We start from the raw sequence: 22,846 nt of genomic DNA, 5'->3' as shown, positions 1-22,846 counted from the left end.
GCCACTGCCCTCTAGCCTGGGTGACAGAGCGAGACTCTGTCTCAAAAAAAAAAAAAAAAAAAAAAAAATTAAATTGACATGCTCTTGCAGACCCAGGGCTGCTGGATAGCACACATGTATTTAAGGGAAGAGAAATATTTTTCCTTCTAACAAAACACAGTCAACTTGGCTCAACATGAACACTAAAGACCAGAGAACTGGCCTTGGGTCTATAGGCCTTCCTTCCACACAGCTTTGTGTACGTCTCCTTTGAGACAACCCCAAAGAGTAGCCACACCCATTGCTTAGGACTTTCATTAATTCCACCTCAACTCCCTGTCTCCTGAGGTTCTCTGATTTCTAACGTGTGGTCCAACATTTCTCAAAGTGCATCCCGAAACACACTGCTGCCACAAAAGGGAAGGACTCTTGCAGTCAAATTTGCAGAAAATGCTGCATCTACTCCACTGTCAATTCAAGGACAATTTCATTATCACCAAATAGCTTCTTAGAAGAGCTGTGGCAAAGATACCTGCTTAATACTGCTTTATCCAGCATTTGCAAAACGTATTTGACTATGGAACTTTTTCAGATAAAACCTTTTTTCTTACATATTACTGAAATCTCATAGTTTATGTGAGTTGAAGTGAATTTAGGAACATAAACACCAATCATTCTGATATTTACCCACTCTAATCCCAATAGGCCTTAGGTAGCTGGTGGTACTAAAAGCCACTACTATAATAGAATGATCAAATCAAGGCTAGAGAATAAGAGCGTGGTGTAAAAAATCAGAGATCTCATGAGTGCTGAGGCATAGAAAACAATCCCCCAAAATATGGCATTTGTGCATGCTGGGCATTTTTATCAATTGAAAGGCCTCAGAAATAAGCCTCAGAATCAAGGTCCCTGAAACCTTGTCTTGTTCCTCCTCCATTCCAATTCTCTTTGGAATTTCCATATCTGACCAAAAAACTCCTTACCAAAGGAAACACATAAGTCCTCAATCCCCTCCCTGAAATCTCATTATCTATTTCAGAAAAGAAGTGTGAAGAATGCAACCATGCTTGGATGGACTTTTTCACAAGATAATGCCTGACTTTCGGGCTCACTCAAATTCCAGGAGAATCATCTAATTTCTAATCATCTAATCATCTAATTAGAGAGAACCTAATTTCTCTCTCCCTGGCCCATTCTTTCTCTATAACAATCATTTCCTGTCCCTAAAAGAATTATCCACATTTCCCATCTCCTCCTTCCCCTATGAAAAGGGTATAGAAATTTCTGCACCTCTTTGGGGGTTTGGGGTAATTACTCTGTGATGTGATCCTCCCATGCAAATTCACACATTTGTATGGTATTTCCCCAGTTAACCTGCCTTTTGTCAACTGATTTTCAGTGAAGCTTCAGAGGGTGAAAGGGAAATTTGCCCTTTGCCCCTAAAGTGAATAAATGGAAAAACAAGACCAGGGGAAAAAAAACAATAATTATGTATTTAAAAAAAAAGATAACTGATCACTGCAAAGGATCACCAAATGTAGCTGAGTTTATTGACAGCTGGGGCCAAGAGGGAAACATGGAGAGTTCCAAAACCTCTCCCATATCAACCAACACTCTGAGTGCTCACTAAGCGTACTGTGTCACTATTCCCGCTTACATGTGTATCTTTCGTCTAAGAGAAGAAAGCAGACTAGTTCCTCCAAAAGCAAGGCTTCTAAAATCTCTAGAAAAAAGACAAACAAAAAAACTTTTTATCTGAGGAATGTGAGCTCCCTTTAAATAATCAGGCCCAGAGAGGCACTGGAGTGAGATAGCAGTCACACTCCACCCCATCCCCCTTGGGCTAAGCAATCATTTCTAAGCAGCTCGCTATATGGACCCTAGGCTGAGTGCCACCACCAGAGCTATAAAGTAACCTAACAATGCCAGTGAGAATCCCTGACAAACGACTTTTGTAACCACCCACTCTCCTGATTCATTCTTTTTTCTTTAATAAATTATGAGAGAGAAGGAAGGAAGAAACTGGCTAGGCAGATAGTTAGGGCAAGGTCCTCAGCGGCATTTATTTTCTAACAAAGAGCAGCCTGAAAGTTCGGGCTGCAAACATAGATGGGGAGATGAATTCCCTCACAGAAAGGGGCCTCCTGTGTAGTCAGCAAGTTTCACTGACATACAGTGGGCCCCAGTGAGCACATTCCTTTCCTTTTTCGACATACTCACATAAGGAAGCTTGCACGGGGAGCTTGCTTGGAACATGGCTGCAACACTATAGATAAGAAGAGCTAGCCTGGGCCAGGCACATCCACCTTGAAGGGTAATATTGTTTGACTCTATGTCTCCACCCAAATCTCATCTTGATTTGTACTCCCACATGTTGTGGGAGGGACCCCAATGGGAGATAACTGAACACGGGGGTGGTTCCCCCTTATTGTTCTCATGGTAGTGACTAAGTCCCATGAGATATGATGGTTTGATAAGGGGAAACCCATTTCCCTTGGTTCTCATTCTCTCTCTTGCTGCTGCCATGTAAGAAGTGCCTTTCACCTTCCACCATGATTGTGAGGCCTCCCCAGCCATGTAGAGCTGTAAGTCCAATAAACCTCTTTCTTCTGTTAATTGCCCAGTCTTGGGTACACCTTTATCAGCAGCATGAAAATGGATTAATAAAAAGGGTTCCGCCCCTAATGCATGCACAGTAGGAGGAGATAAGCAATATGGAGTAACTTAGGCTAAGGACCTGCATGTACACTAAACAGATGGGGTGGGGACTGCCAGGGATTCGTGCCTTATGGAAATGACACACCTAGTCCTAACCGGTTTTTTGAGCCCTATATAAATGGAGCACCCTTCCCTGCTAGCTTTTTTTATTAAAACTATTGCACTTCACTGCAAAATGACAACGCTTTTTTGAGATCCCTCTCTGCAGCAGAGAGTTTTCTCTCTTTCTTTCACTTATTACATTTCTGCTCTAAGCTCACTCTTGGTGTGTCCACATCCTTGACTTCCTTGGCCATGAGACAAATAACTTCATTTGACACCCTAGACAATAAGGCCATTTCACTTGAGCTTCTTTTTTGTTCTCTAGAGTACTTCCAAAGATAACTTGGAAGTGTGTCCCACATAGCTGTTCTCAACTTTGGCTCAAATAAACTCTCTACCTATATTAATTTGTCTCAGTTTCTTCCCTTAGGTTGACAACTATTAAGGAGAATTGCATCTCATCATCCACTAACTAGGAAGGCCCTGTAAACACGTTCTCCAAATAGCCATTTCCATTACAGATGCTCAATTAACTTCAATATTTTTTTTCTTTTCCCTTTTTCCTATAAATTAGACCTGTCATCATACTTGCTTATTGATTGTGGCTAGCAGGTCTATGCCTTTTATTAATTAGAGTCTGAGATTTTCTTTGAGATGAGTTCCAATCAGTTTTCCAAATAAATTTCAATTTATTCTCCTTCACAGATTAGACAGTGATGTCTCTCACCTCAATAGTGGCACACCTACTTCCACATGTTTTTGTAAGAATCAACCATAGTCAGAGAGCTAAGGGGCATCTTAGCTGTTAATATCTAGCCCAAATAAAAATATGGCAAGAACCTTGAGGTCATGCTGCCTTGAAATTTAGAAAAATTTCCTTCCTTAGGGCAATTCTAGCTTCTTTATCATTACTTGAAGAATAGTCATTTTCTTAATGAATGCCAGGGGAATGTTAAAGACCAAAGGCAGAAGGCAATGAAGGAGAGGGGCACTGTCAATCTATACAGCATCTGTGTTCTATAAATATTCACTTTATGTGACAAAACTTTTCCCAGAAACAGCTAATCCAGGAAACCAAAAAGTTATAAAGACACAGTTACAAATATGAAAATTTTATAGATAGGGTAAACTCATTTTTGTCACTTGAATTTTAGACTTAAAAAGATCAAAAATGCTGCAGAAACCTACCAGGCAGCCACATGAATCCTGGAATTCTGGGTGAGAAAAGGGATCTGTGCGCCAGCATGAAGAATTCTTCCTAAAAAACAAAGGAGAGAATTGGAATGATCTTTTAGATTTACAAAGCCATTGTATTTCCATAAAAGAGAGTTTCATCAGACTAGAACAGAGTTCACAAGATAATCATCTCCCACTGCCGAGAAGGCAGAGCTCTTACATTTGTTTTCACAGCTTGAGCTGTTAATCTGATGACAATGTTTTATTACAACGCCAGCATTTCCATTATATTACATGGGGCTCACTTTTCTTACTGTACTGAGTGTATCACAGGGCTCCCTAGGACTTTCACGGTGCGGCTGGGGCTCCTGGTGGAAACTGAGGCTTGCAGTCTCATAAACAGGTACCAAGAAGCAATTAATAAACAGCAAGACGTCAATTCCTTTTTGTGGCATGACACAGTAATTCAATAATCACTTAAGGAAAAACAATTTTTAAATTTCCTCTTTAAACCTTTTTGGTTAAACTTTCTGTTGCAGAAAGATTGTGCAACAGAAACAGTTATGAAAACCATTTGTAGCAGTGGTTCAAAAACACATTTGTATTCCACAGTTTCCCTATCATTTCTATTTCCTTATGAGTCCCATACTTTAAAATATTTTTTCTAGCATTTGGAAATCAAACTTTGTTTCAGTAATGATAATTACTCTTAATTACTCAAAAATTGGAAAAGGAGGAAGAAAACTAGCATTTACCGAATTACAAGCACCGGCTAGATATTTTTACCACCATCCTTACTAGCCCTGCTTTTCAGAAGAAGAGGTGGGGTCCAGAGAGGTGAAGCAGCTGTCGAGATCCCAGCTCTATGCAAAGTGTGTGCTGCTCCAATGAGAAAGCCAGTATGATAACACCAATTGAAGAAAGCCTTGCCCAGTGAAAAGAAACTTGCCATTTCTATTAACCAGGTTAGCAAAGTACAATGTCTACGTAATTTTTGAAACAACAAAAATAACGTAAAGATTTCTCCACACTTTGTTGGCTGACTAGCTTATAGGGACTCCAGTTTGAAACTTAAGAGTTTACATGGAAATAACACCTAAGAGAGTTACGTATTTAATCAGAGTACTGTATCTGATATGTACTTTTAAAAAAAATTCCATTTATACTTCTGAAACTCAGCAGGCCTTTCTTCCTTCAGATGCCTTAGATGATGGTTAACAAGTGTTTATAATTTAATATATGACTTCAAAAAGTCTTCTTTTTCTCTTCCAAATCCTCCCTTATTCTTCTCCTAGCTCCCTTTTATAGAGTAAAACTAGGTGTCCATGAGAGGTACATAATGACCCATGACAGGTAGTTTTTTGAGCACTTCTCAGCCTCCAACAAGTTTTGTGTTCAAACAGATTCACTAAGAAGCTGTGTGAATGTTCATAAAAGGGAGAGACAGAGGGGATGATCTATGAGAAATCAGAAGTTTCTACATAATTTTTCTTTTAAAGTTTAAGAATCGAAAAATACACTTTGACTTAGCAAAGCATTTCCCTAAAGTGGCCTACAGGACACAGCTGCAGAGAGGCTGCTGGAGGAGGGTCATTTGGTCCTTCAGGTTTGGACACACTGGGTGAAATAGTTCTCTCTACTACAGGGCTGCCTGGAGTTTTCAATCACCTAAGGTGCATTTTTTTTTTTTTTGAGATGGAGTCTCACCCTGTTGCCCAGGCTGGAATGCAATGGCACAATCTCGGCTCACTACAACCTCCGCCTCCTGGGCTCAAGTGATTCTCCTGCCTCAGCCTCCCGAGTAGCTGGGATTATGGGTGCGCACCACCTTACCCAGCTAATTTTTTGTATCTTTAGTAGAGACGGGGTTTCACCATGTTGGCCAGGCTGGTCTCAAACTCCTGACCTCGTGATCCGCCCACCTCGGCCTCCCCAAAGTGCTAAGGTGCATTTTAAATCTCGAAGACAGAGGCAGAAGCTCTAAGGACCTCCTGTCTTGAGAGTTGCTTTCTGAGGCAGGAACTTGCCTTAAGAGAACAAAAGCTCTCTACAAGAACTACCCTGCCATTGAGGTGACTGTTCTTTCTATAGAACTGAGAGCACACTGATGCAAATGAAGAAAAGCAGAGAGAGGTTCAGCAAGTTGCGTGGGTCACACAGTCAGTAAGAGTGGAGCTGAGATTTGGATTCAGGAAGACTGGTCCTATATTACCCCTCTATCATGATCCCTGGTATGCACATTCTCTACACTGCTGATCCATGGCCTCAACTTTCCTCTTTACAGGCCCCTAAGAGGGAATCTGTCACCAGCCATGACAGGCTCTGAAGATCCCACCTTTTGGCTAATAATGAGCCTTCTAGATTTTCCTGAGTACTGAGATGATTTATTGTATCACTGCTATCTAATAACTTTCTTTTTAATTACAAAAATAAACCTTATCCATCTCCCCACTTGGCGTTTTAAGTTTGATAGAAATATAAGATTTGCTATGACTTTTGTTCTGTACTAAACCATTAACAAGAATGGGTGAGGAAAGTGACCATTTTGTGTTAGAAATAGTAGGAGAATTCAACACTGAAGTGCCACCAGATATAAGCCTTGTAAAATAAAGCTAAATATCTATATCTACCCGTCAGCTACTAAAAGTTGACTACTTTAACACATTTTAAATTTTAAATTATGCATCACCTACTACTGTGAGAAAACTCATATTTTAGATCGGATTTAGACAACAGTGGATTTTTCTAGAGCTCTTCATTGTCTTCGTATGAGAGGGAGGTACAAATCAGAAGTTCAACATAGCACCATTGAGTTGACACTCAGAGCTGAGTATCTCAACAGAAAAGCAACCTATCAGTAGAATCTAATGTATTATTTTAAAATGTTTCCTCTAGTTAATTATCAAGTGATTGCCCAAGTCTTCCAAGGAGGTAAAATGTAGATATCATCAAATTCAACAATATTTTACACTTACAGAAGGAAATCTACAGGTTTTAAGTAAAACTTTTTGCTCTGATTTGAGGTCCTAGTGAATCAAGCCCTATTTGTATAACATGGACATAAATTATTATTAATACAAGTGTTCACAGCATCTTTTCATGTACCTCTCCTCCTACCCTTTTGTTATGCTGACCACAAAAATAGATAGAAATGATTAAATATAGAAATGAGTTAAGGATAGATTAGGTAGATTTCACAAAGAAAAGGGAGAACACAAAAACATAAATCCAGGAAGGTAGAAGAAGAACGGACAGAGGAGAAAAGCTATGAGGCTGATCTGCAGGCTGGGCTGGAGGGCAGGAGCTCATGGAACAGAGAGAGGAGAGGAGGAGAGTTTGGGGCTCTACTGCAACCCATGTAAAAGGAACTGGAAGTAAAATACGTGTCCAAACAAAATGTCCAATACGTTCTGCTGTCCTTTAATTATTGATTCTACCTTTTGTTTTTTTCCTCTGGAAGGAGAAGGACTAGATAAAAGATTTTTTTTTTTCTAACTGGTTCTTCTTTGATCCCAGCTTGGACCAGGGCTGGACCCCATGGGGCCCTAGGTTACATTTCAATTTTTCAAAGGTAGACATATTTTACACCCTGTGTATTCCATCAGAGAGGAGAAAAATAGAAACATTACCATTGAAGTTTTAGTTAAATAAATTACTTTGTTTTGCAAAGACTAGAGTGAAGCAGCATAATTATCTATTAATTCTTTCTTACTGAGAACATTAATAGTTTTTCAGTCTCACACTAATTACCAATATGACTAATGGGCAAAATATGTCATCGCAAATTAGAAAACAAATTGCCAATATTGTATTATTGTTAGATTTTTATATTTACTACTTAAAAACATACACTTCTGGCACTTAATAAATCATTATGGCTTTTATCATTTGCCTCATTTGCTCTACCCAGAACTGTAAATTCCTTGAGACCAGGGCCATATTCCGTATTAATTTTGGTTCCTACAGCAGCACTTTGCTTGTAGTAGATCTTCAATATATAACAATTGAGCAAAATAAGAGGGAAATAAGTGTTTATAAAGAAAGGCCTCCCCTATCCAGGTTTCATAGAAAGATCATCACAATAACCATGATTAAATACCAAAAAGATCATTTTCAAAGTAATTCACCCCAGATTGATGTACAGTACTGACCTTTAAGTCTTTTAAGTTAAAAAAATATATAATTAATTTTTTATATGTACAAGGATTCTCTAAAAGTAAATAATAGCTAAGACATAATTCAGACTTAATTCCTACTTCATTCTTTTCAGCTTTGGGTTTTATTAAACAAATTGAATGCTGTTAATTATTAATTTATTTTGCAATAATATAAAGCATGCATGTACGAAGGGAGAAAGGGGGTAATTATGAAGCTTATTTCGGATCATTTTATATGGTGATACCCATAAGGCCCATTCAGTAATAACCTAGTCATTAGGCTAATTTTCATTTTTTATAACATAAACTTGTGACATGAAATAACCAATCATGAAGAAAAACAGTCCTCCCAGGCTACAATATTACCAGTTGGGAGTGTTCACTTTTGCAGAGAGCACCTGACACTTACTGGCGTGGGTTTAAATCTGCACAGGGCAAATCTTGATCTCTAAACTTCCGCAGAAGCACACGGGTGAGGTCCAAGTTGTCGCCCCCACTGCTGCTGTTCATTGTGAGACAAAGGAAACAAAGTGGGATTATTAGTGGCTCCCAACAGAGAATGGAGAACCAGCTGCTGACCTCACATTGTGCCCTAGTCAGGCTGATCCATCTAATGATTCCTAGTAAGTGAGATACAGCTAATTTTCCACTGTTTTTATGATAATGCCAAACAAGCAATAAAATTGGAAAATTTATTACAAGTATAGTTTTGCCATCAGATATGCATTTTTATAGACTCACATTCACAGTACATTATTTTCCTCAACATTTTCACTTAATATAACACCACCATTTTTCACATATTTACATGGTTTTTAAAAACAAATTTTAAAGGCTACATAATATCATATTGTGTTAATATATTAAAATCTGCAAAACTATGCTCTTAAAGTTGGAGCTCCAGTTTGGTCTGAATATTTGTTCTATTAACATAGTCCTGAAATAAAACAATTTCTAATGTAAGAAATATCATTTGGTTTCTATATGTGAGCTACATTGAGCTACATTTTCTTAACAGAGGTCCTCAACACAGAATCCTATGTGTGCTTTAAGTACACATTAAATTTTACTGGCACACATCTCAGAAGTCTATTTGTAGTTCAAGCAGCATTACTGAAAGCCAAAACCACCAATACTGAATTTCCTTACTGAAGACACCATCAGCAATAAGACACTATTCATGTCACTGTGGGGAGTTGTAGAAACAAACCCTGTATTAAATTTTATACCTCAATTATAAGACAATCTTGAGAAAATGTAGAGAAAAAGACATTTTAAGATTTTCTAAATTGGACTGAATGAGAATGAGCTCATTTAATTAATTAAAATTCTAAATTAGTATTTAGAAAAGAGTATAGATTTCTTACTTTTCAGAACTTACATTGCATTATTTATAAAATACTTTTTGAGTAAGAATCTTTGCAAACACTTGTCTCAAAAATTTCAAAAATGGTATATAATCAGCATTATAGATTATATAGATATACCTGGTGACCTCAATTCTTTTTGGAAAGAATTATTATATAAATTAACAAATATACATAAGTGACTCCTTTTAAAGAACTTAAAACATTAGCTACATTGAAGAAATGCAAACACCAGAAGCTGGGAAGAATAGGGGAGAGAAAGAGGTTGGTTAATAGGTACAAACATACAGTTATAAAAAAAAATAGGTACTAGTGTTCGATAGCACAGCAGGGTGACTGTAGTTAACAACAATTTATCCTATTTTCAAAACAGCTAGAAGATTTGAAATGTTCCCAAAGTAAGACATTATAAATATTTGAGGTGATAGATATCCTAAATACCCTGCTTTGGTTATTATACATCGTACGCATGTATCAAAATATCACATGTACCCCATAAATATGTATAATTATTATGAGCAATAAAAAAGCTTTAAAACAGAAAATGCAAAAAAAAAAAAAAAGAAAGAAGAAATGTAAGCAACCACAGAGCAATCTGTAACCACTGATTTCTCTAATTAATTTTTTGTTCTCAGACAAGAAATAATTGAGTCCAAAATATTTTTCTGAATTGCTATTAGCATTAAAATGTAGAAAGGTCTGAGGTGGAAATGTAGGAATTTCCAACCACATCCTGCAGAACAAACGTAAGCTCAGAATGAGAAGAAACTTCTCATTAGGCTACTGTTCAGTGTGACCGTACACATAGAATGGAACATTACAGACTCCCAATTTCTCTAATTCCTTTAGTGAGCTCTTCTAACATACCAATCTGACATTTTCTTTGCTCAAAATGTATCAATGGCTTCTTGTTACCTATGCGTTTTGAAATAGTATTTGAATCCCTCCACAATCCTAGGGCCTGTTGCTCACCATTTCTTCCTGAGCACGGCACCCAGCCCAGCCTAGCCAGCGCAGCCCAGACCAGGAGAACCACTGTTTGATTGGGCAGATCTGCTTTTGAGGGTGCTGATCCCTCTGTCTCGGTATCTCCAATATCCTGGACACTTGATTGGAAGCCATCTCCAGCCTGGCCTGGAAACCTTGGTTGGAACACCGATTCCATAATAAGTCCTCCCTGCCTCCTCTGCTCCATTTGTCCTGCCTGGTGGCCTTAGTATACATCTTCACTGGAGTTTAACTGGAGGCTTACCCTTGTTCTCATTACTGGAATGAAGCAATCCTTGAGGAAAGGGCACAATGCTTAGGATAGGTGTTGGAACTCAGGGTCTCATAAATGATGTGTCGAACCAAGTTGTGATATGTTAACAATGCACTGAATTCATTGGCCTCATCCTTAATCTCCATCCAATTATTTTACTTCCCTAAATCTGGCCCTTTCTGAACTTTTACCATTCAAACAAAAACAAAATTTAATTGAGAAGAAATGCAACTCATTACATTAAATTAGTATTATATTTCTGCTGAGGAGGACTTTGTTTCCAGAGCAACTTAAAATGCAAACACCTCTGTGGCATCCAAATCCAGAAATAAATGTTTACAGAAAAACACTATCTTCCCCACTGCATAAAATTTAATAAAGATTTTAAAATATTCGTATGGTTTACAACTGTCCTAATATAATTCCCTACAGCTGTGGCCAGAAACACACAATGATGGAACTTGCTGAAATTTACAACAAAGTTATGTCTCATAAGTAGGCAGTGTGACCTCTGTATAAACAGCCTTCAGGTTTCTAACAAATTAGGAAATGCAAGCTTCTTTTAAAAGTATCTTTGTCACCACAAACTTCAAATGCTTTTTCCTAAACTATCCCTCTTTTGTTGCCTTCAAACTCCTGGCTATATTTTAAAGTAAATCTCTATGTTAGAAACATTTGACATCTGTCCTTACTAGACTCTAGAAATTGAAAATTACTACCTATGATTCTCGAGGAACTTCATAAATGGAATCACTCTCTCTAATAATCATCTCTTAAAATTTATTGTGCACCAGAGTGACCCAAGGAGCTTGGCTGAACAAATACACACTCCTAATGGGCCTTCCTGGTTAACAAGTCCCCCCAGTGGTTCTGATTTAGACAAGGATCAAACCAACCTTGAGAAACACTGGGGCATCTGGGAAGACAGCAGCCTACACTCTCCCCTTCCTTCCTCCATTCCTCCCTTCCTCCCTTCCTCCTTTCCTTTCCGTTCCGTTCCGTTCAGTTCCATTCCTTTCCATTCCATTCCATTCCATTCCATTCCATTCCGTTCTTTTCCCTTCCTTTCCTTTCCTTTCTTTATTCCTTCCTTCCCTACACTCTCAGCTCCAGTCTTTCGACCTCTCCTGATCCAACCAGCTTTTGGTGTTGATAAATTTCTGGTTCCAGGTGAGGTCTTGGGCTCTATGGGATTTGCTACTAGCCAAGCAAATTCAGGGCCATCATCTCTACAGGCCAGGCCACATATGAATGCAATGTGAAGAACAGGAGCAGAGCATCCAGGGAAAAGGACCAGAAAGGACCCATCCTGGGAGGTGTGGCCCTCAGAGACCTGCAAATCTCCAGAGACCTCAGCCTCCCCTCTCTCGCTGGACCCCAATAGTCAAGAAAAAGCTTAATTAAAGGAGCTGATGCCTTCTATTCCTAAATGAGAGAGAGTATAGGAAGCAAAGGTCCCCACCTCCCTGAAAAAAACAGAAAGTACTGGCAGCCCAGCTGCTGCCCTACAGAGGCAGAATGTGCTTTGATTCGGAACTTCGTCCAGTTGATAGGCAACATACTTATCTGATCTGTCAAAACAGCAATAACAAACACATGTCCTGGGGTCCCAGCAACCAGAGAAAAACCCAAACAGTGCCAATATTTATGAAAAATAAAGGTGCTGCAGGAATACACACTTTAAAATTAAAAACAAAACAAAACAAAACAAAAAAACAGAGAAGCACATGCCTACACAGGACTTTCTCAAACCAAGAAGAATGGTTTCCTGAAGATAATATTAGAGGTATAAATTGAGTAAGAGGATAGCCACTGTTTAGATACAAACAGTGATGTATAAGAAAAATCCACACAGAAGGAGGACAAAAAGGAAAAAGAAATCCTTAAGGAAAGATAAAGAATTAAAAGATGGATTTGGAAGACCCTAACATGAGATGTGCTAGGAGTTCTAAAAGGAGGTAAAGGAAAAATGGGTGTGAAGAAATTAGATTAATAATAGAAGAAAATTACCCTGAACTGGCAGGATGCGGTGGCTCACGCCTGTAATCCCAGCACTTTGGGAGGCCAAGGCCGGCAGATAACCTAAGGTCAGGAGTTCGCGACCAGCCTGGCCAGCATGGTGAAACCCTGTCTCTATTAAAAATACAAAAATGAGCCAGATGTGGTGCTGCATGCTTGTAATCCTAGCTACTCGGGAGGCTGAGGCAGGAGAATCACTGGAACCCAGGAGGTGGAGGTTGTAGTGAGCCAAGATCACGCCACTGCACTCCAGCCTGGTCAACAGAGTGAGACCCTGTACTCCCCCACCCCCCAAAAAAATTACCCTGAACTGAAAAAAAGACTTAAATCTGCAGTTTTGATAAGGAAACAGTAGGGGGGGGGGAATCCTTTACTCCAAGGATAAAGAAGAAATCTTGCACAATTCCAGACAGAAAAAGTTACCTATGAGGGGAAGAGACTCAGATAGACTGCTCCAAATAAGACTTCATACCTGGAAGCTACAAAAATAATCCCCCTCATATCACTCCCCAGACTTTAGAACTTCTTAATGCCTCCCTGCATTGTGTTTGCAAGATAATGTCAATTCTCCTCAGAATGCCTTATAATACCGTAATACCTGCCAGAAACCATCAAGGCTTCTGCTAGACTTCCTGCCTTACTTTTCACATTTACTCACACTCTTCCTTTAGAGAGAGTACAAGAGAAGAAACTTTCTCTTCTCCACGTCTGGAAAACACCTGTTATCTCAGAAGAAGCAATTTAGGGGGCATAGCCTTAAAAAACCTTCTTTGACACCCCTAAATATCTCCCCATGTGGCTTATGCACAACCCCTGCACCAAGTATCTACCTATAAGACTTTCCCATCTGTTTGTAGGGATCATTTCTCTGCTTGACTGTAAACTTTCTCAGGGTAGAACTTATGGCCTTGTAAGTGTTTGTGGAATGAGAATTAGAGCCAGGAGGCCTGAAATGGATTCTCAGTCCTGTTGGCTAGTTGGCTAGGTTGTGCCAACTGAGGAGTTCACCCAACATCTGTGAGTTCACTGTCCACAATGAGAATGTCGTCATCAGGGATTCTCTCTCTTTTTTCTTAAATTTCAACCCACTAAGAGGTACGACTACCAGCAATTCACAAATTACTGAATCTCAGGTGGGCTGAGCTGAAGAACAGTTCACCCAGGGTGAGGGGCCATGAAGTACATCCTAAATTCATGGTTGGGTAGAGCATGAAGGATATATATTCACTCATGGGTAAACATTTTAAAAATGCCTACTCAGTGCTGGACTTTGTCCCCATACAATGTATACATAATTAAGTCAAGCAAATAGTTTCAGCTATTTCATTTACCATCTGTTTTTTCCCACTGGACTGTAAAAGGACCATGGGCGAGTTACATTGAGAAAGCAGCTTCTGTGCCATGACTGAGAGGAAGAATGCTCTTGGGGTATCCAACTGGACATGCAAAGTCGGTCCAGAGTTTGGATGTTCTATGACCTGGACGAAGCCTGGTGTGAAGGCGGACCTTGCAGACAAGGGAAGGGAAACCAGGAAATGAGATCAGAGGGGCAGCCAGCACTTTGTATGTTATTCTGCCAGAAAAAAGGCTTCCAAGAGCCTGCTGGTGAGTGTGCTACATCCTCTCCATCCCGCTCAAAAGCACAGATGATATATTAGGTCCATCCTAGTATTTACTAAGAATAAGAAGAAAAATAACTTTCATTATATTTCTTCCAAACAATTGTCCAATTACTTTCCATTCGTCCTCTCACTGAATTACTGAAACAAAGTGAAGCAATCACTACTATCTCATGTGATAAAGATGCCACATACATAGAAGGAAGTTGTACATATATGAGGAGAAGAATATAAATAATTGAAGATGTTCTCTATGAATGTTAACATCACTGGATCATGAAGTATACATTTATCACATCCCGGTGACCATTTTGCAAAACCTGGTGGATGTTTTTGAGATGACAGAACACCAACAAATATACACCAACAATCACTGTCAGTCTTCAGTTAATTTAATTTCTGTTATCCTTCTGCATATAGCAGAAAAGCTTGAGTTTTACAGAACACCAAGTGATTCTACTGTAGGCAAGTGGCCAAGAGATTGGTCAAATTTAGTGGTATTTGTTAAGGAAGATGTTGTAGGAAATGTTGTGGGTTGAATGATTTCCCTCCAAATTTCATGCCCACTCAGAACCTCAGAAAGTGATCTTATTCGGAATGAGTTTGTCCAGATATAATTAGATGAGTTCATACAGGATTAGAGTGGGTACCATATCCAATATGACCGGTGTCCTTCTAAGAGGGAAATGTGGACACAGAGACATGCAGGAGGAAGGCCACATGAAGACAGGAGGCTGAGACTGGAGTGATGCTGCCACAAGTCAAGGCATGTCAGGGATCGCTGGCAGCCACTGAAGCTAGAGACACAAGGAAGGATTCTCCCCTGGAGCCTTCAGAGAGGACATGGTCCTGCTGACCCTTTGATTTCAGACTTCTGGCCTCCAGAACAGTGAGAAAATACATTTCTGTTAAGTAACCCAGTTTGTGGTTCTTTGCTATAGCAGCCCTAGAAAACTAAAAAACGCACCCAGTTTCTGCTGGCATGCTAACAGGAGAAGGGGATGGTGACAGTGGGCACCGACTGGCCACATACATCCACTGGCCCTCTTGGGTTCTTAAAGAACTGGTGTAGCAACCAGGACTTGGGAGTCCTACACTTGCTCCTTCTAGGTCTTTTTCTAGGTCTCCTAGTTGGAGAACTAGGAGAAAAAGAGAGAGAGTTTGGGGGTAGGAACAAACTCAGCAGACAGTGGGCCAGGGTCAGGTCCATGTTCAAGGAGGGCTCACGGGTTTTTCTAATGCAGTGAACTAGTGGTATATTTAGGACCATCTCCTCTAGTAAGGACTAAGAGCCCCATCCCAGAAGATGAGGTCATGGAGCCTAAATATTTTATATTTTTAATGTGTAGAGAGCTGTCTTTCTATGCTCCATTTGTTTGTCTGCTGCCTGTCCAAGTTAATTTCTGGAAGACATTTTTGATACATTTCATTTTCATTATTTCAATTTAACAAGGATTTAATGAAAGTAATCATTTATAGACATGTTGGCAGGAACTAAAGGTACAGATATAAAGAAGGCTTGATCCTTAAGCTCCAGGAAGTCTCCCTGTAGGAAGAAAGGCAAGAATCTCCCGCACTAAGTTAAGCCACAGTGACATCCACACAGGAATGACAGACATTCAGATGAGAGAGCAAGCACAGAGGATCCTTGGAAGGGGGCATCTGAGCCGGGTTTTGAAGTATTCTTATTTTGCTGGGAACATTAGAGTGTATAGAGTGGGAGTGGCAGAGGACTGAGGAGAGGAAGGTAGTTTCCATTTCCTTAAACAGGGAGAGATGCAGCAACATCATGTATGATTGTGTCATTCTGAAGTTCAGAGCATGAGATAAAGGGAGTGGCAGAGGCTGCAGAGGCACCAGGAGGACCTGTAGGATATGCTAAGATGTGGCAATATCATCCCTTGGGCAATATGGAGCTGCTCAAGGTTTTGAGCAGGTCCGTCAGGTCTTACCAGCCTCAGATGTCTGCAAGCAGGTGCAGCTGTGTTCACACTATATCTCTCAGAGATGCACCACCCTCCTCTAATTTCTCTGGGGCTGCTCTGTGCTGCTCGCCTCCACCCTAAACAGGCACAGAGGCCCTGCCACCCTTTTCTCACACTTCTTAGTGGGGAGGGAGAATTTCTGGAGCACTCTCAAAACAGCAATCAGAGCAAGTTGATTCAGAACAAAACTGAGTCAGAAGCCTGGGTCATGAATGGCTGACCAGACCCCAAACCAACACAGACATGCTCCATACTTCTCCTCCTCCCTCACAGTCTATAAAGTCAATGTGCTGTGGAGGTCTGGTTACAAAACAAGCATCTTTACAGCCCTGTGGATGTCATGCGTTCACTCCCTACCTGGCCACCAAAGCATGTGAGTTGGAGAACACTGCAGACTGAGTTGCCAAAGCCCCAGGTTTGTTTGGGCCCAAGAAGCTCAAACCCTCTATGAGCTGTGGGGGTGTCATCTGTTCCCTTCATTTGTAGAAGGATTCAGGTAGAAAAGAACCTCTCTAGTGCATTTCTTCTGGTTTGTGCTTTTATGAAGATTTGTATTCTGCAAGAAATTTTCAGTGAATTTAATGTAGATATATAATTGCATTTTCTCAACTCTAAAATTTTAGAAGCATGGGGCTCTATTGAGAATTGTCAGAACACTAATAAGATAAGATTTATATGTATCTTCCAAATCAGCACAAAGCTAATGCATTCATGATTTTTGAAAGCCACATGCAGGCCTGAATTATGCATCTATCAACAGGGAGTTACCCTAAGGAGAAAGAGAGGGAGTGTAATGGCAATCTTATATGCCTTCCCAAGGAGACTGCTCACAGATGTTATAAAATGGGGTTGTCCCACATTTGGAGCAGCAAGGATGGGTGCTGGGTTACCACGGGTGGCCTGTGTACACAGGGAGTCAGGAGGACTATAAGATGTGAAAATCTGGGCCCCTTTTGAATCATTCCTGTGCCAAGATTTAGATCATGGTGCTCAGATTCAATAACGAAGGAATGGCCACATCATTTATCACTCATAAGAGGGCACTTTTGAGAGTGGAAAGAGGCAAGTTTAATACAAATGCAAAACAACAGGGGTTGTCTTCAGAGAAATCAAGGTACACACTCAGAGAGGATCCAGTATGCAGAAGAAAAGTAATGAATGTCAGTGGAGAATTCCTAACAAGAGCAGTTATAGCACCCATAAAATGATCAAATGATGATAGTTATTCTTCTCGCCCACTAATTTTTGACTATCACTGCAAACATTAGAGATAATAACAAAAAAGCAAGAAAATGTTCCATCAATGTGGATGCTTCCTGGTAGCTTTTTACTTTTTCCTCATAACTAACTAAACTACCACTCTACTAAAATAAAAACTGAGAAAATGTAAGCTTGTTCTTTTCTCTTTAGACAGAAATTAACCATGAGAAGTGGGGCACTTGCAATCACTGATGGAACAGGTACGATAGCCTGTGTAGGCAGGACTCCTTTGTAAGGATGAGAAAATAAACCTCCAGACATGTGAATGTCTCTGTTTCATAAGTTAAGTAACATTATGAAAAATGAGAACAAACCAATATCTCAATTTAAAATAGTAACTCTTAGAAATAGAAGAAAATATTAAAATATCTTAATTCTCAGACTCAAAATAATTTTGAAGTGCATCACTTCTATAACAAATGAATACTGGGAGAGTAGGAAAAATGCTTTCAAATGAAAAACATAATCGCCAAATTAACAATGCAGTAGAGAAAGTGAATGGCTATCTGGAGTCAACTGAAAATGGTATCAGTGAAATAAACACCATGAAGGGAAATTCTCAGCGGTCTCAGAAGAAAAAGATAAGCGGTAAAGTTGAGAGAGGGGAGGAGGGTGAAGAAGTCAGTTAGAAGCAAAATATGATGTGGAAATACACTTATATATATATAGATGATGCTTAATATATTCAATATGTAAAGTAAAATTTTAAATAACCAAAAAACTTTGAAAATATTCAACTTCAATAGTAATCAAAGAGCTGCCTATTAAGCAATGAAATATCAGGTCTGAACTATCAAAACTTTTAGAGTTTAGAGAACTGAACTTCCTTTCTCCCACAAAACTAGGGGTTTTGGTTTGTTCTAATTATACATATAACTACCACCTAGAACAGTAGCTAGCATATAGTAAGTACACCATAAATATTTGTTGAAGAAAAGAATCAATGACTTTATAAGACTGTTAATTGGCACACATTTATAAGGGTAATTTGGCACTATCTACCATAAAAATACTGATGCCTTTGCCCCCCAAAATTCTAATAGAAATGTCTGATGGTAAGAATAAGTAGATAGTCACCTAAATCTAACTAAATAAAGATTGTTATACAGCATTGCCTATAATAGGAAAAAAAAAACAAATAAATAAACCTTTATATGCCCCCAAAAAGAGACTGTCTAAATAAATTAATGTGCCTCCAACAACATACTACTAAAGAGCCATTCAGTAGTCAGGGTACTGTAGTTTTCATGAGTAAAGTGGTTGTACTGATTTATAAGAAGAGATACAAAGATATTATGGAGTGTAAAAGAGTTACAGAGAGTATTACAGTGTAATCTCATTGTGATAACAAATACAAATGCATGTAGATACAAGTATTATGTATATCATGTGGCAGATTATCCCAGTAGGTTTACTGTAGATATCTCTGGTAAAATTACATGTGATTGTTTTTTATTTTATTTTTTGGCTAGCCTGTGCTTTGTATTATTTTCTTCAAGAAACATATTTTATAATCAAAAGACTCAAAATAGTGATAGCCCTTTTATAGTTGAGGAGTGTGACAAGGAGGGAACAAACTGAAGAGTTTACCATAGATTTTTACTTTGTCCATGTATTTGTTTAAATCTAATTCCAAATTACACATCACTACAAAAATTACACACATATTAGTAGGCTCTTAGAGATTAGCTGGTTAAGCTGCTTATTTTAGTAAGCATATATATTTGACAAAAGCAGAACTGACACTGTCCTCTTAGTTGTCTTCATGTTGAAAAGCCTAGCCAGTATGCTTGTGCAGTTGTAAACTAGTATCACTGAGTTCCAGTCATTTGTCTCCCCATCCCAAATGTGAAAAATTGTAGCCACCTTGAAGACGATTTTGCATGTTCAATGTAATGATGTCTGGATCACAGCCATGGCCGTGCCCGGCAAGGGCCGGGCCTCCCTGACTCTGCACAGATTCTCCTGAATCTAGAGAGGAGCCCGCTAAACTAAGGCAAAGGAACTTAGGGGATCGGTTTCTATCTTAGGTTCCCAACCCTTGTGTATGAATCTGCAACCCAGAAAGCTCTGAGTTCTTGCGTAAATTCATTTGGTGGCAAAAACCCAGGCTCTTCTGAACGCACCGGCAACAGATCCTGCTCAATTGACCCCAGCCTGGGGAGGCTCAGGGCTTCCATCCCTTCCGTGCTGTCATACGTTTCTCCGCAGAGAGGTGTGTGCAACTGTGGGGCTGTTGTCCCAGAAACAACTGTGGAGGGCTTTGTGAAAATACCACATATATCTAATACGTTCTAGAATCCTACAAATCCCGGAGTCTATCCCGCCCTCCTGTGGGGCAGGGCGTGCTGGGCCCTCTGCAGGTCGGCGGGTGACAGCTTGCGCCCTTTCGCGCAGGGACTCGGCCACCATGAGGAGGGGTCAGGGGCTCAGGATTCGGAGACCAGGCAGCCTCATTAGCCTTAAGCGCCTGCCCTGAGACAGCCTGAGAGGAGCAAGAGCTTCTCCAAGGATCTCCTCGTGAATTCAGACCTCGGAAATAATGAAAACATTTATATTTCCAGTTTTTATCTAGAATTCTCAAAAGTATCGAAGCTATTGCAATTCATAATCTGCCTCGACATAATTTCGAAATCAAAGGAACAAAAACAACTTACCTGAAAAAGTAGGTCTCGGCCCGCTGGTAATGTCCAGGTGTGAGTCTGAGGGGAGGGTACTCGGTGGCCAGGGGTCTCACCATGAACAAGCCCATGGCCAAGGCCACGAAGAGGACTGGCAGCAGCAGGTCGGCGAGGGTGCTCTTCCCGGCGCGCAGCGTGCGGCGGAGCCTCCGGGCCAGGATCGCGGCCACTTGTGCGCGGAGCAGCTGGACGCCCTGCACAGTTGCGGGCCGTGCTAGGGAGCCACCTGCAGGACGGGCGGGAGGAAGGGCGGCTGGGTCAGCTCTGCGGAGGTGACAGCGCTTTGCCTCGTTTGCCCTCTCGGTGACCCTGCGGCATCTCGCAGCCATGGGAATGCGACGCAGGCCCACCCCATGAGGACTCCCTTGAGTGTCCCCTTTATGCACCTAAAGTGCGGAAGCTGGGCCTTGGGCCGGAAGGCTGCAATGCAAGAGGAAGCCTCGTGGCAACGCGTGGCAGGAGCAGGGCGTGTGAGCTCCGCTGCGCTTAGAGCGGACGACACACCTGGGCTGCTCCTTTGCTTCCTCCTCCTCTCTCCCACCATCCTTTTCCTCTCTGTTCTTAACTCCAGGTCTCTCCTGGGAAAACCCCAGCTTATGTGTGGGTCGGGATTCATTCAGGGAATAACCCCACGGCCTGCTTTTCCTCAGTTCCACCGTCCCTGCACCCCGCCCCCGCTCCTCCCGGCGCCTTCCACTTCCCCGCAGGGCATAGGAGAGCCCGGCGCCTGCCCACTGCGCCTCCCTGCTCCCGCTTCCCTGCTCTGGGGGACGCAGCGAATGTGAAAACATCCTCAGCTATCAGAGCGATCCACAAGCAAAATTCGAAAGGAAAGCGTGAGCTGTGCATCATTCATCTACTGATCATCCGGCCACGCTCCCTCAAGAGTGATCCTTTGGAGCCTCTACCAACGAATCTCAGTAAATCTCCTGGAGTTGAGGTTGCACGTTCCAAACAAGCTGTGGAGAGCAGCTTTTCTGTCCACTGGGTGGATGAGAAGCTGGGAGCAGAGACAGAGGTAGCCCATGGACTGCAGTCTTAAACGACGTCCAAAGCAGGACTCAGCCGGATCAATCAGCTGTGGTGATAGTTTTTCCCAGTGATTGACTCTAAAGTACTCCAGAAAATCCAATATGAAGTATTTCACAAGAAAGGCAGTCTTATAAAGAACAGATGTACTAAACGGATTGTACTGCTCACAAACACCAAACTGAAATACAGTTAATAGAGAGCAGCAAACAAGTTTGAAGACCCAAAAGAGAACATTTTTAAAGAAGCTGTACCATGTGAAAGAGACATCATTTGTCACAGCATTGAGAACAGAATTGTAGAGGGGTCATGGGGATAAAAATGCATATCTGAGAAAACTTCATTTGGGATATTTACTGAGTGCCCAGTGTGTGCAGGCGCTGGGCTCTTTGGTTTCTGTCCCCAACATACGGGTTGAGATAAAAATGTAAAGAAATAACCCAGCACACTGTAACAAAGTGTCAGGCTGGAAAGAGTCGGTACCAAGGAGTGAGTCCTTGGGATGCTGAGGAAAAAGTGAGAAACAGGCCAAGCGGCCCGGACGTTCAGGTAGAATCCTTGAGATCCCTGGGAGTTTACAGGCAGACAAGAAAATGTGGAAGTCTAAAGATCAAAACAGGAGGTATAAATAGGCCTGGCATTCTCTGTGAATAGCAAGGAAACAGAATGTGGCACATCCGTGTAGCAAGTGGCAGGAGATGAGAGTTAAAAGTGATCAGAAACCAAGACAAGAAAGACCTGCACACCCATTTTTAAGGATTTCAGGGTTTGTGCTGGACAGAAGACTTCCAAACCCAGTAGTCACTTGGGCTGAGTCACATGTTAGACTTCCAAATTATAAGGCAAATTAGTATTTAATTTTAATGAATAAAGTTCTAATGAGGATGAGGCATTAGGTAGTTAAAGCAGTGGTTTCTAAACCAGGCTGCATATCAGATTAACCTGGGAACATTTTAAATGCTGGTTGCCAGGCCCTATCTCAGAAAAAAAAAAAAAAATCCCAATCTCCAGAGACTCAGAGTTAAAAGTGTGTTTTTATAACTTCCCAGAAGATTGAAATTCTCAGCCAGTCTATGGAACCACTGATTTAATGCATTTATCAATGGTGATCCATATACAGCTCTCATAAAGCAGTTATTAAGTCAGCATATAGACAGATTATATTGCTAGGAAAAAAGTATGTCATTAAACTAAATTTTATATCTCTACCTATCTATCTATCTATATATATACACACATACAAGTATATACACTCTTCTTGATGATTTTATGAGGTTATAGTGCTGGATAACACCAATTCTATTAAGTCTGCATATTTATTAGGATAAGTATTTGAATTCTCTAACTCAAGCTAAAATAACTGGGATGTTTTTGGGTGCCCATCCCTGGATTTCTAAAAGTAATTACTGAAATAATTACTTGATATCTTCACAGCCCTTTGACCAAGAAGCTCTTTCTCTGACAAGGTAAAATGCCATACTTTGTTCAGGCTTAAAAGGAACTGAATAGCCACAGTTCACCAAATGTCACAACCTACAAATTAGCCTTTACGT

At 40.6% G+C, this 22,846-nt stretch overlaps 1 protein-coding gene across 22 annotated transcripts in view; it reads right to left on the bottom strand.

The window, feature by feature from the left end:
* ABCA13 (ATP binding cassette subfamily A member 13) overlaps positions 1-22,846 on the bottom strand; it is a 476,040-nt gene that overhangs the window by 171,971 nt on the left and 281,223 nt on the right. For 16 of the 22 annotated variants that reach the window (XR_926914.3, XR_926915.3, XR_926919.3 and 13 more), the window contains 3 exons: positions 20,241-20,490; positions 8,482-8,574; positions 3,928-3,997 (listed from right to left, as the gene is read on the bottom strand). Coding sequence is in view for 19 of the 22 variants with exons in the window: in XM_011515130.3 (XP_011513432.1) it covers positions 3,928-3,997; positions 8,482-8,574; positions 20,241-20,490 (413 nt within the window). In the remaining 3 variants the exon portion in view is untranslated. The remainder of the gene's footprint in view (positions 1-3,927; positions 3,998-8,481; positions 8,575-20,240; positions 20,491-22,846) is intronic. The other 6 variants (NM_152701.5, XM_047419921.1, XM_047419922.1 and 3 more) reach the window with 2 other exon arrangements.

Source organism: Homo sapiens, chromosome 7, assembly GCF_000001405.40.
Source record: "Homo sapiens chromosome 7, GRCh38.p14 Primary Assembly".
Classification (NCBI taxonomy): Eukaryota; Metazoa; Chordata; class Mammalia; order Primates; family Hominidae; genus Homo; species Homo sapiens.
The sequence above is the reverse complement of the archived record's forward strand: the minus strand, read 5'-3'. Positions and strand labels throughout refer to the sequence as shown.